This window comes from Homo sapiens, chromosome 8 (assembly GCF_000001405.40).
Source record: "Homo sapiens chromosome 8, GRCh38.p14 Primary Assembly".
NCBI lineage: Eukaryota > Metazoa > Chordata > Mammalia > Primates > Hominidae > Homo > Homo sapiens.
The window spans coordinates 123,995,095-124,009,282 of NC_000008.11; the positions used below are offsets into that span (position 1 = coordinate 123,995,095).

The 14,188-nt window shown below is 41.1% G+C and overlaps 1 protein-coding gene and 1 long non-coding RNA gene across 8 annotated transcripts in view, besides 1 other annotated feature; one reads left to right on the forward strand and one right to left on the reverse strand.

The window, feature by feature from the left end:
- FER1L6 (fer-1 like family member 6) overlaps positions 1–14,188 on the forward strand; it is a 268,075-nt gene that overhangs the window by 143,108 nt on the left and 110,779 nt on the right. For all 7 annotated transcript variants that reach the window (XR_928347.3, NM_001039112.2, XM_011517231.3 and 4 more), the window contains one exon: positions 8,073–8,253. Coding sequence is in view for 6 of the 7 variants with exons in the window: in NM_001039112.2 (NP_001034201.2) it covers positions 8,073–8,253 (181 nt within the window). In the remaining variant the exon portion in view is untranslated. The remainder of the gene's footprint in view (positions 1–8,072; positions 8,254–14,188) is intronic.
- Positions 1–14,188, reverse strand: part of FER1L6-AS1 (FER1L6 antisense RNA 1) — a 56,645-nt gene that overhangs the window by 10,957 nt on the left and 31,500 nt on the right. Inside the window, exon 5 of the long non-coding RNA NR_040044.1 lies at positions 9,096–9,138. This is a non-coding gene — a long non-coding RNA (FER1L6 antisense RNA 1). The remainder of the gene's footprint in view (positions 1–9,095; positions 9,139–14,188) is intronic.
- Positions 11,915–12,209: a silencer, noted in NCBI's record as "tiled region #12119; HepG2 Repressive non-DNase unmatched - State 23:Low". NCBI's record gives its function as "represses a minimal TATA promoter and a strong SV40 promoter by Sharpr-MPRA in HepG2 cells {active_cell/tissue: HepG2}" and the evidence as "EXISTENCE:reporter gene assay evidence [ECO:0000049][PMID:27701403]".

Sequence of the window (14,188 nt, forward strand, 5' to 3'; positions counted from 1 at the left end):
AGAGGGTCTGTAGTTTCTTTCAGAAAGTTTTCCTGTTAAGTTCCTGCATTGTTTCTTGAAGAAAAGCTCACAGCATGAATCTCTACACACTATTTTGTCTTTCCAAGTGGGAGAGTCATGGTAACCATGCCTTCAGTCCACCATCTTGAAAAAACTTGTGTTTTTCTTTAAATGTTTGGTGAATTTCAGCACTGAAGCCATGGGGTCCTGGACTTTTCTTTGTGAGGAGACTTTTTATTATGATTTTGATCACATTACTTATTACTGGCCAGTTCAGGTTTTGCATTTCTTTATGATTCAATCTTGGTAGGTTGTTTATGTCTAAGAATTTATCCATTTCTTCTAGGTTTTCCAATGTATTGGCACATAGTTGTTCATAGCAGTCTCTAATGATTCTTTGAATTTTTGCAATATGTGTTGTAATGTCTCCTTTTTATCTCTGATTTTATTTATTTGGGTCTTCTCTTTTTTTTTAGTCTGGCTACAGGATTGTCAATTTTATCTTTTCAAAAAACCAATTTTTCATTTTGTTGATCTTTTGTATTGTTTTTATGTTGTTGTTTAGATTTCATTTAGTTCTGCTCTGCTCTGTATTTCTTTCCTTATACTAATTTTGAATTTGTTTGCTCTTGCTTTTTCAACTCTTTAAGATGCATCGTTAGGTTGTTTATTTGATGTTTTTCTAGTTTTTTGATGTAGGTGCTTATTGCTATAAACATTCCTCTTAGTACTGCTTTTGCTGTATCTTATGGGTTTTGGTATGTTGTGTTTCCATTATTTGTTTCAAGAAATTTTTAAATTTCCTTCTTAATTTCTTTATTGACCCACTGGCATTCAGGAATATATTGTTTATATGTGCTCATATAATTTCCAAAATTTCTCGCGTTACTGATTTCTAGTCTTATTCTATTGTAATCAGAGAATATACTTGATATAATTTTAATTGTTTTGAATTTTTAAAGACTTGTTTTGTGGCCTAACATATGGTCTGTCCTTGAGAATGATCCATGTGCTGAGAAGAATGTGTATTCTATAGCCATTAGAAGAAATGTCCTATAAATATCTATTATGTCCATTTGTTCCATGGTGCAGATTAAGTCCAATGTTTTTCTGTTGATTTTCTGTCTGGATGATTTTTCCAGTGCTGAAAGTAGGGTATTGAAGTCTCCAGCTATTATTGTGTTGCGGTCTATCTTTCTCTTTAGCTCTAATAATAATTCCTTTATAAATCTGGGTGCTTCAGCATTGGGTGCCTTTGTATTTTCAATTGTTATATCCTCCTGCTGAAATGACTCCTTGGTCTCTTTTCATAATTTTTATGTTGAAATCTACTTTATGTGATATAATTATATCTACTCCTGTTTTTTGTTTGTTTCCATTTACATGGAATATCCTTTTTCATTTTTCTCAGTCTCTATGTGTATTTATAAGTGAAGTGTGTTTCTTGTAGGCAGCAGATCATTGGACCTTGTGTTTTTATTTATTCTGCCACTGTATATTTTTTGATTAGAGAGTTTATCCACTTACATTCAATTTTATTATTGATACATAAGGACTTACTTCTGCTATTTTGTTATTTGTTTTCTGGTTGTTTCATGGTCTTCCTTTTCTTCCTTCCTGTCTTTCTTTTATTGAAGGCAATTTTCTCTGGCATGTTTTAATTTCTTGCTTTTAATTTTTTGTGCATCTGTTGTATGTTTTTTGATTTGAGGTTATCATAAGGCTTGAAATACGATCTTGTAACCCATATTTTAAATTTATGATAACGCTGATTGTATAAAGAAGCAAAAAAAGCAAAGAGAAAATGAATAAAAACTCTACACTTTAATTTCATCCACTCACTTTTAAGTATTTGTTGTATACTGTCCATGTCTTAAAGTTGTTGTAGTTATTTGTTTTTGATAGGTTCGTCTTTTAGTTTTCTACTAAAGATACAAGTAATTTAGACACCACAATTACAGTGTTATAATGTTCTATGTTTCTTTGTGTACTTACTATTACCAGTGAGTTTTGTACCTTCAGATGATTTCTTGTTGCTCATTAACATCTTTTTCTTTCAAATTGAAAAACTTCCTTTAGCATGTCTTTTAGGATAGGTCTAGTGTCAATGAAATCTCTCAGCATTTATTTGTCTGTGAAAGTCTTCATTTCTCCTTCATGTTTAAAGAATATTTTTGCTAAATATACTATTCTAGGATAAAAGGGTTTTTGTTGTTATTGTTTAGCACTTTGAATATGACATGTCACTCTCTCCTGGCCTGTAAGGTTTCCACTGAGAAGTCTCCTGACAGATGTATTGGAGCTTCTTTGTATGTTATTTCTTTTCTCTTGCTGCTTTTAGGTTCTTTATCCTTGAGTTTTGGGACTTTGATTATTAAATGTCTTGAGGTAGTCTTCTTTGGATTAAATCTGCTTGGTGTTCTATAACCTTGTACTTGAATATTGAAATCTTTCTCTAGGGTTGGGAAGCTCTCTGTTATTATTATCCCTTTGAATAAACTTTCTACCCTGATCTCTGTCTTTCTACCTCCTCTTTGAGGCCAATAATTCTCAGATTTGCCCTTTAGAGGTGATTTTCTAGATCTTATAGGCATGTTTTATTCTTTTCTATTCTTTTTTTCTTTTGCTTCCTCTGTGTATTTTCAAATAGGTTGTCTTCAAGCTCACTAATTCTTTCCACTTAATTCTGCTGTTAAGAGACTCTGATGTATTCTTCAGTATGTTGGTTGCATTTTTTAGCTCCAGAATTTCTGCTTGATTCTTTCTAATTATTCAATCTCTTTGTTAAATTTGTCTGGTAGTATTCTGAATTGCTTCTCTGTGTTATCCTGAATTTTATTAAGTTTCCTCTATACAGCTATTTTGATTTCTCTGAAAGCTCACATATCTCTGCCTTTCTGGAATTGGTCACTAGTGCTTTATTTAGTTTGCCTGGTGAGCTCATGTTTTCCTGGATGGTCTTGATGCTTGTGGATATTATTTGGTGTTTGGGTATTGAAGAGTTAGGTATTTATTGTAGTCTTTGTAGTCTGGGGTTGTTTGCGCCCATCCTTCTTAGGAAAGCTTTCTAGATATTTGAAGGGACTTGGGAGTTGTGATCTAATCCTTTGGTTACTGAAGTTGCATCTGAATTAGAGGGAACTTCAAGCCTAGTAACACTGTGGCTCTTGCAGAGTTGTAGAGGTACTGCCTTGGTGATCTTGGGTAAGATCCAAAAGAATTCTCTTGATTAATAGGCAGAGACACTTGTTCTCTTAGTTTCCCTCAAAAAGAGGGAAACTCTCTCTCTCTCTCTCTCTCTCTCTCTCTCTCTCTCTCTCTCTCTCTCTCTGTACTGAGTTGCCTGGAGCTGGGGGAGGGGTGACACAAGCACTTCTGTTGCTACCACCACTGGGACTGGGCTGGGTCAGACCCAAAGCCAGCACATCCCTGGGTCTCGCCTAAGGCCCATGATGACCACTGTCTGGCTACTGCCTGTGTTCAGTCAAGGACCAAGGGCTGTACCTCAGCAGGTGGTTAATCCAGCCAGGTGCCTGTCCTTTCCTTCAGGGCAATGAGTTCACCCCTGGCCCCAGATGGGTCCAGAGATGTCATCTGGGAGCCAGGACTTGGAATCTAAAACCTTAGAAATCTACCTGGTTTTCTATTCTACTGCGGCTGAGCTGGCATCCAAGTTGCAAGACAACATTCTTTCCACTCTTCTCTCTCCTTTTCTCAAGCAGCTGAGTCTCTACCCATGACCACTGCCGCCCTAGCCCCACAGCAAGTACTGCCTGGCGATTAGCAATGTTCACTCAAGGCCCAAGGGCTCTTTAGTCTGCTTATGATGAATCCAGGCTTAGGTCCCTCCCTTTGTGACAATGGGCTCCTCTCTGACCCAAGACAGGTCCAGAAATGCTGTCTAGGAGAGTGAAGGCCTGAAATCAGGGGCCCTGAGAACCTGCCTGGTGTTCTACCTCATTGTGGCCAAGCTGGAATCTCAGCTGTGAGACAAAGTCCCCTTTATTCTTTCCTCTCCTTTCCTCAAACAGAAGGGGTTTCTCCCCATAGTTAACACCGCTGGGAATGTGTTGGGTCACACCTGAAGCCAGCATGGTGCTGAGTCTCACCCAAGGACAGTGGTGAGTACTGCCTGGCTACCACTGCTAATTATTCAAGGCCCAAAGGCTCTTTAGTCTGCAGATGATTAATTCTGCTAGGACTGGGTTCTTCCTTTCAAGGCAGAGGGTTCCCTTCTGTTCCAAGGTGTGTTTAGAAATGTCATCTGGGGGCCATGCACGGTGGCTCACACCTGTAATCCCAGCACTTTGGAAGGCCAAGCCAGGTGGATCACTTGAGGTCAGGAGTTTGAGACCAGCCTGGCCAACGTGGTGAAACCCTGTCTCTGCTAAAAATACAAAATTAGCCAGGTGTCAGAAATTAGCCAGGTGTGGTGGCACATGGCTGCAATGCCAGCTGTTTGGGAGGCTGAGGCCGGAGAATTGCCTGAACCCGGGAGGCAGAGGTTTCAGTCAGCTGAGATCAAGCCACTACACTCTAGCCTGGGCCACAGAGCGAGACTCCATCTCAAAACAAAAACAAAAACAAAAACAAAACAAAAGAAATGTCATCTGTGGGCTAGGGCCTGAAATGTGGATCTTACAACTCTGTGTGGTGCTAATTCTGAGCTGGTATCCAAGTTGAAAGACAAGGTCGTCTTTACTCTCCTCTCTCCCCTCCTCAAGCAGAGGGAAGGAGTCCCTCCTAGAGCTATGAAGTGTTGGGGGAAGAGTGAAAATTCCTTGGCTGCCCCAGCTTATGTCTCACTAGGGCATGTGCACCCCAAGTCCACTGTCTCTGAGCCCAGCATAGCACCAGGACTTTTCCAGAAATTGCAGTCCTTGTGGCCTAGACTACCTTTCAAGTTTATTTAGGACCACAGAGCACCTCAGCCTGCAGTGGCAAAGCTTGCTGGAACTTAGGATGGATGATTTGCTTCTGGCTAAGTCTGGTCTAGATGCTCCCTCCTTGGGTGACGGCTGAGTTCTGCCTGGTGTTGCTTTCCACTGTGACAAGGCAGCACTGAATTCCAATGCAAAATCCCACAATCACTGCATTTTTTTCATCCCCAAGTGCTCAGATTTTCTTTCCACACCATTTGGCCACTGCTAGGGGATGGAGAAGAATGAATCACCTTTAGGCAATTCAAGACTGTTTTTCCTACCTTCTTCAGTGCTTCTTTCCTTAATATGATGTTAAAACCAGGTACTGTGATCACTCACCTGATTGCTGGTTCTTATGAAGGTGCTTATTTTGTATGAAGAGTTGTTTAATTTGGTCTTTCTGTGGGGGGTGATCACTTCAGGGTTCTATTGGCCATCTTGCTCCACCTCTAGATTTATTTTCATACTTCACAAAAGTGATTAAGACTGTAGGTTTAGATTCAGACATACTTGGATTCCTAATCCTGGTTGCATTACCCAGAGTTCACTTAATGTCTCTGAGTCTCGGTTTCTTCATCTGTGAAATGAATTCCTCATAGAGTTGCAAAGTTTAAGGAGTTAAGGCATACAAAGTGCCATGCATACAGTAGATGTTATTATGTAACTCTCCAAATCTTCTTGGGCTATTATGCAACTGGGAAAGCCATTCCCAGAAAGAGCATTCCATCACAGAAGGTCATGATTTATATTCAGGAAGCTCTCTTTCAACAGGGCAGAAAAAAATAGAGATGAAATACATCCCTTTTAAGCCGTACAGCTGGAAGCCTAACAAAGAATCTCCTGTCTGCATGACGAGAAAATGGAGATACATTTTGGGAACATGTATCTTTATAGAGAGGGCAGAGGGACCCAGGAGGGTTAGCTCTAAGAAGAGAGGTTTGGGTGGGGACTGAGAGAGACCTGGCAGCTGGCTTCAAGCATCAAAGGACCAGAGAAGAGGAAGGAGACTTATGAGGTGGGGCTCTAGGATGGGCCTAAGAACACATGGTCATACGTGAAAAAATGGGATGATTTGGGGTCTATCCAAGGAAGAACTTGCCCATAGGCAGTAAATTCCCTTAGTGGACTGGGATCCACAGGGAGGTAGTGAGCTGCATATGGGAGTGTCCCCACCTCTGACCTTCTCTCCAATAGCCTATTCTCTGGCCCTGCCCTCCATTCTTCTCATTGTCTCTTACTATAATACCTTCCTTTTGACTCATGAAGATACCCAATCCTTTCTTCTGTTTCAGTTTCATCTCTGTCCATCTCAGACTACAAGTTTCATCCCTTTAGCCATACTCTTCCCAGCTGTCTCAATTCTCTTCCCTGTTTTACTATTAAAAACCCCATCTAATTATCCTGCTTCTCTGCTCTCATGCTCTGCCTTTGTGATTGATTTACCACAAATTCAATGGTTTCAGCCATAGTGGATATCCAGAGAGGTCAAACAACCACCTCAGCTTATATAGCTGGTGAATTTTAAAAAGAGGACTCAAACAAAACCTGCTAACTCTAAGTCTCCTTCTTTTTCTAGGATATTATTATGCCTCTCTCAGGTATTTTAGTATTATTCCTAAGGTAAGAATAATGAAGAAGGGAAGAAAAGAATGAACTGGAATGAACTGGGAGAAAGACTCTTAAGGACATAGAAACACATTGAGGTCACTGATTCACTAAATATGAATCAAGACCCTCCCTGTGTTTATTCCACGACCAGTGGAGACACAAAAATTAGCAAGATACTATTTTCATTCTCAAGACATTTGCAGACATCTAAGTAAATTATTTGAAAACAAGATGGTAGAGGAATGATGGGAATATGATGTGACTTTAGGGACCTGTTTAGCTTAGGTTCCCAGAAACGAAACTTGGGAAGATTCTCATACATGTAAGGTTTGGGTGGCATGCTCTCAGGAGAAGTGGGTGACGGAGCATAGGGCAGGTCTCTGAGGTCAGGGAGACCAGCTACAGCCTGATCCTGTGAGGCGCTCTCAAGTGAGTGGCATCACAGACTTGGCCCCACTTTGAGGCATGTGGGCTGGGCTTTTATATCCCCACACGAAGCTGTGAGTGGCTTCAGGCACAAGAAGGGGGCCTTATAATCTTCTGTGGAGAGACAGACTCCATTAGTAGAAGGCAATTCTGTACGGAAGGTGGCTGTTGTAAGCTATTAGCAGTGATCTCAGTATCTGGGGTTTGGGGGCTCCTTCCTGGTAAAGAGGATCTGGGTGGGGCACCACCAATGACTATTGCAGGGAGACAGAGTAGTGACACCTGGCCTGCCTGGAGAGGAAAGGCAGGGGTCAGGAACGAAGAAGTTAGGAAGGCTTCCCAAGTTAAGAGGTCCTTGTGATTATGGGCATTTGATCCTGAACCTTTCTTGATTTGAACAGTCAACAAACTCTGTAACATGGCTAGCTTTGGAGCTCCTTCCAAAAGAGAGGAATGTTCATCTAAATCTTTTAAAGCATTTGAAATTAGATTACAAAATGGAAAGATCAATGACACCAGTATGCCTGCAGTGAATATCTATTCCTATACAAAGATATTTATAGCACAAAAGCTGCCCTATTTGTAGGGGAAAAAATGATGTTTTCCTTCCCTCTCTCCCCACTCTGCTTCTCTCTCTCTCTCCCCACCCCCCGCCCTTAATTGGGGATTTAGACAAGAAGTCTTCTCTTACAGAAGAAGCAGGTTTGGAAAGGTGTTCATGATATTTAGTGAAAAAGGCAGGTTACAAAATGACGTATCTATGATTCTTTACCAACATCTCTATAGTGCAAGGTTCTCAGGGACACTGCAAGGTTATACACTATAATGTTTAAAATGGTTATAACAGTTTTGTGATTTCTAATGACTCTTTTTTTAGTTGATGGTATTTTCTAATTTGTCATTTGTGTAGTTATTACAAAAGAGAAAATAAGATGGATAGAGATGATAGCTCATCATCATTGTCAGTCTTGTTGGTCTGATCATTGCTCTTTCTACCTTCATAATGGGAGCTTACCTTATTGCTGTGGGAGAACATGAGTTTGGATCCTTTATGCCAAGCAGACTGATTCTGATTACCACCACCTGACCCCTTTCCCCTTGCTACTGCCTCTGCAGGTAATTTTGGAAACCTGATTGATGGAGGATCCCATCATGGGAGTAAGAAGTCAGCTGAATCAGCTGAAGAAGACCTCCTTCCACTGCTTCACGAAGGGCAAGGGGATGTGGCCCATGATGTTCCCATTCCTATGGCCTCCACCACTCACCCGGAGAAGCCACTGGTGACAGAAGGGAACAGGTAGGAGACATAGCCTGGGAGAACAGTCAAGGATTTTGCTGGTGGAATTTTGTCCAGTTTCTAGGACTGTTTTCTTCAGTTCTTCACTAAAATCAGAAATGTCCTTTTTTTTTTTTTTTTTTTTTTTTTTTTTTGAGACGGAGTCTTGCTTGGTCACCAGACTGGAGTGCAGTGTGCAGTGGCACGATCTCAGCTCACTGCAACCTCTGCCTCGTGGGTTCAATGATTCTTCTGCCTCAGCCTCCCGAGTATCTGGGACTACAGGCACACACCACCATGCCCGGCTAATTTTTGTATTTTTAGTAGAGATGGAGTTTCACTGTGTTGGCCAGGATGGTCTCAATCTCCTGATCTCATGATCCTCCTGCCTCGGCCTCCTGAAGTGCTGGGATTACAGGCTTGAGCCACTGTGCCCGGCCAGAAACATAATTTTTTAATCTCAGCTATGAGAACAAGGTGCAAATAGGAGCAAGAAGGTAAGTACCACTCAACTGAATCTTTAGCAACATGACAACCCTCCAGATACATCTAGGTAATTCATTTAAGGGCAGAGCAATGATGATGGTGGTGATCATATCTGAAGTACCCTTTATTCTATAACTGAAGCAAAGTAAGATAGGAAGGTCAGAACTTACAATTTCAATCCAAATCCTCTTATTATATTCATCTGAGTCCTGTGCTATTATGTAAATTCAATTTGATGGGATTATTGAATACATCATTTCTTATCTTATTTTTGACACAGTCATTTGCAAAACTGAAAGACTCAAAAAAAAAAAAAAAAAAAAACAATTGTCAGGCACCAGAAAAGATAATTTCAGAAAACAGCTGGGGGCACTTACATGTACTCTCACTGATCTCCTTTAATCCATTCAAAGTTTCAACCTGCAAATAGAAGTAAAATTACAGAATTTTTTAAAAGAAAGTGGTGTCAAGCACCAATCAAACAAGAAGGGATAGTGTACTGAGAGTCTTTTATTGCCAGATCTTGAAATATGTATGATCTCACTGGATTCTCATAATAGAATATTTCTTCCCCCATTTTGTATGCGAAGAGAATGAAGATGTTGTATGGCCCTGACACAGCTACATCTCTACGCTCCTCAGTCCCTCTGCTCTTTTCAATCTAGACACTCTCTGGGGACTGAACCATGACTACTCTCAGGATAACAGGGACTCCCAAATCTATTTTCCTAGACAGCCCTCTTTCCTGAGCAGCAGATCTAAGCACTTCTGCTTGGATGTCCCACAGATTACTCACCAGGCTCATTGTCTTCACAGACAACTTTTCTTCTTTCCCTATTTTTCCTATCTCTCAGCCCACCATTCTGAGTCCTCCAAGCCACAGACAAGAAAATTGTCAACTGTTGGTCAGGCGAGGTGGCTCATGCGTGTAATCCCAGCACTTTGGGAGGCCGAGGCGGGTGGATCGCGAGGTCAGGAGTTCAAGACCAGCCTGTCCAACATAATGAAACTCTGTCTCTACTAAAAATACAAAAAATTAGCAGGGCATGGTGGCGGGCACCTGTGATCCCAGCTACTCAAGAGGCTGAGGCAGAAGAATTGCTTGAACCCGGGAGGCAGAGGTTGCAGTGAGCAGAGATCGCACCACTGCACTCCAGCCTGGGCGACAGTGGAAGACTCTGTCTCAAAAAAAAAAAAAAAATCGTCAACTGTTCTCTTTTCCTTCCTACCTGCATCTGCTCAGTGATGAAGCCAGTCAATACAGTTCTTAAGTATTTCTCATATATAGATATACAGATATGCCATTTAAAAATTCTGGCCATTGGCACCTTCACCTTACATTACTAGAAAACAACAACAGCAACAACACCTCCTACCTGGTTTGAATCTTATTCAAGACCTTCGCTAAACTATGAGAACCAGTTACTCTCCTGATTCACATCACTCATTGACTCCCTGTGGCTTTCAGGATTAATTCCGGAGGCCGTAGCTTATGGATTTGATCCTAGTCTACTTCTCCACCTTCATTTCTGGCCACTCCACAAATTCTTTCTTCTATTCCAAACTGCAGTGCCCCATGGCAGTATCCCAATATGTCCTGCTGTGTGCTGCTTCTGGACCTTAGAACACACTCTTCCTTACGCCTGGCAATAATCTCCCTCCTCAGAACTGCTAGGTTCAAGACAAAGCCCAATTCCATTCCCTGAATCCCCAGTCTGATTTAGACTTTGTCCTCACCTCCCCCAAGCACTGATTGAAGACTTTTTACCTGTCTCTCTCCTCTGTTAAACTGGGAGCATGTTGAGGCCAGGGACTATGCCTTATTCACACACATATCTGTTCATCTCTGTGACCAGTGAATGGCAGTAGATGCTCATAAGTGTTTTTGAATAAGTTAAGGAATTACTATAACTGGATTGGGTACAGAGTACTATGGGAACAGAGTCAGGTGAGTAATCCCACTGGGGAGGAGGTAAGGAGTTGGGGAAAGTCACAGAAAGAGTAACATCCTAAAGGATGAGAATGTGCTTAAGGGATTGAGGGAAAGCATTTAGGACAAAGCAGAATGGAGTCCATTGAAATAGTCTTAGCTGTTTGTCCTCTTGTTTTTGAGCATTCCCTGAATTTTCTAAACCCTGTCCTTCCATGGGCCTTCCAAGAATCACCTTCTTTGGGGTAATTTTTCGTTCCCTGAAAGCCATACTTGTTTATCTGTCGTTCTTCACAACACCAGAGAGAACCCAAAATTCCTCTGTCTTTTAACTTCATTCTCAAAACTGAGGCCATCAGTGAGGGAACAGCTGGATCTGCAGTTCTGGGGGACTGTTCTGAGACTACTCAGAGGTACTCTGCATCTTTGCACTGGGGCCAGGCAGTGAAGACATTCTCTACCTTGATGGATTAGCCATTGTTGACTATTGGTGGGGGTTTCAGGGGAAGATGGTAAGGGAAGGGTTTAGGAGGAGATGAGAGGTCTCAAAGCATCCTTGGATGCACCTCATATCAGTGCTGTCCTGCTGGCTCAAGGAGATCAAAATAAGTCATGCTGGTATTTTTTTTTGGTACAGTTGGGCTTTCTGTACATTCTTCAGTCACCATATTGAGGCTCTGTCTATATAGTGGCAAGCCAGGGAGGCAGCAGCTGAGTTGGAAAATTCTATGTCTACAAACAACCCCTATACATGTGTGCACATATATGCATGCATGTGCACATATATATGAACACACACAATTTATTTGTTGCCCCCATTAAAATGTCACCTTGGATTTGTTCTGGGCTTTCCAGTGTTGCAAAGCACATGCATTCACATGCAGCTTATTTACTAGGCTGGAGCTCCGGAATGGGACTGGAGAATAAGATATCCAATGACAGGTCATCATGTGATGACCCAAAGTCACAAAGCTGGTCCTGTATCGGGACAGCCATTTAGACTGGCAGTCTCCTCTTTCCACAAACAGCACAGCACCTTGCCATCTGCTGCCCTCCAGCTGCACTGCAGTTTGCCTAAGAAGCCACAGCATCCTTGTCCATGTAGACACACTAAGACTAGGAGGTCCCTGAGAACCAAACAGACAAAGGCCTTGAACATCATTAGCACGAGATGATCCAAACCAAAGAAACCTTGAGACAAAGCAAAATTTGGGGTGGGAATTTATCTATCTGCAGGATTCTTAGTGCAATAATTTTTTAAGAGATAAAGTAGAGCAGTTTGGTTTCTAAACTTGTTTTTGTTCTCCTGCTGTAATAACAACCTCAGTTTCTGCCAAAAACTTATGTGGCTTCTCTTCTGAGTAAACACCTGCTGGTCTGTTTTCTGCAGAGCAGACCACGGGGCACCTTCACTAATTTTATTGTCTCCTTCAGAGGAAATTTGCGTGGAAGAGCTAAAAAGAATAACCATCCATTCTTTCAGGCTGAAGTTCTCTTTAGCTTTTTGGAATGAAAACAAATGTCTCTCTCTCTCTTTCTCTCTCTCCCTCTCTCCCTCTCCCCCCCCTACCTTCTAGAGGCTTCTTCCTCCATATGCCATCCTGTCACACCCATTCCATGGACTTTAGTCTTCTACAGTTCTCTTCACACAGTCCCAGGTGTTTGGGAAAAAATTACATGGGGTTTGGGGGAAAACCTGGTCAAAACAATAGCTGTCATTAGGCAGGGAACTTCTTCAACTTTTTGTTATATTTCTCCCCCTTTAGCTACCTCCACACCCACCCACTTCCTTCTTGGAATTAAAATCTATAAATTAACTGCTGCTTTTCTGTCATCTCTCTCACACTGTTAACTGCCTCTTATCAGCATGCTCACATTTCCAACTGCCATCTTTAAATATTCCTTCTGGCTCCACAGCTTCCCCTTTTAGCTACTTTGCTATCCTCCTCTTGCCATTTTTAGCCAAGCAGGTAACCTACTAGCATTAATTCCTGGCAACAAAAAATATCAGATGGATGGATGGAAGAAAAGAATGGAAGAAAAGTGGATGGAGGGAAGGGTGGTTAGATGAGCAAGCCATGAAATGCCAAAGTTTAGTTTGGGACACAGGCCTTTACCCTCATTGATAGTATGATTATTTTTTTACATTTCTCTAGTAATTTCAGCTTATATAATGCACTTACATCTGTTATCTTTTTTAAAATTGCCTTTTTCCATAGGTTTTGGTGGAACACATGGTATTTGGTTACATGAGTAAATTCTTTAGTAGTGACTTGTGAGATTTTGGTGCACCCATCACCTGAGCAGTATACGCTGAACCCAATTTGTAGTCTTTTATCCCTCACTCCCTTCCTACCCTTTCCCCTCCGAGTCCCCAAAGTCCACTGTATCCTTCTTATGCCTTTGCATCCTCATAGCTTAGCTCCCATTTATGAATGAAAGCATACGATGTTTGGTTTTCCATTCCTGAGTTGTGTCACTTAGAATCATAGTCTCCAATCATGTCCAGGTTGCTGCAAATGCCATTAATTCATTCCTTTTTATGGCTGAGTAGTATCCCATCATATATACGCACACACACCACAGTTTCTTTATCCACTCATTGATTGATGGGCAATTGGGCTAGTTCCACATTTTTCCAATCGTAAATTGTGTTGCTATAAACATGCGTGTGCATATCTTTTTTGCTTAATGACTTCTTTTCCTCTGGGTAGATATCCAATAGTGGAATTGCCAGATCAAATGGTAGTTCTACTTTTAGTTCTTTAAGACCTGAAACTATAAAAATTCTAGAAGATAACATCAGAAAAACCCTTCTAGACATTGGCTTAGGCAAAGATTGTATGACCAAGAACCCAAAAGCAAATGCAACAAAAACAAAGATAAATAGGAGGGATTTAATTAAACTAAAGAGCTTTTGCACAGCAAAAGTAACAGCAGAGTAAATAGACAACCCACAGAGTGGGAGAAAATCTTCACAATCTATACATCTGACAAAGAATTAATATCTAGAATCTACAAGGAACTCAAATTAGCAAGAAAAAAAACTCATCAAAAAGTGGGCTAAGGACATGAATAGACAGTTCTCAAAAGAAGACACACAAATGACCAACAGACATATGAAAAAATGCTCAACATCACTAATGATCAGGGAAATGCAAATCAAAACCACAATGCTCAAAATGCACAAATGATCAAAATGCACAAATGCAAATCAAGACCACAATGCTCAAAATGCACAAAGCCACCTTACTCCTGCAAGAATGACCATTATCAAAAAAATAAAAAAAATAGATGTTGGCATGAATGCAGTGAAAAGGTAACACTTCTACACTGCTGTTGGGAATGTAAACTGGTACAACCACTATGGAATACATTTATTATCTTGACTTTCACATATGCCTGGCACATAGAGACTAAAAAGGAAAAGTTACTTTTCTTCCTGTTTTCCCTCTCTCATTTAAAACCATCCTCCTTCTGCACTCCAGCCTGGGTGATGGAGCAAGACCTTGCCTTTTAAAAACAAATTAAGTACTTTTT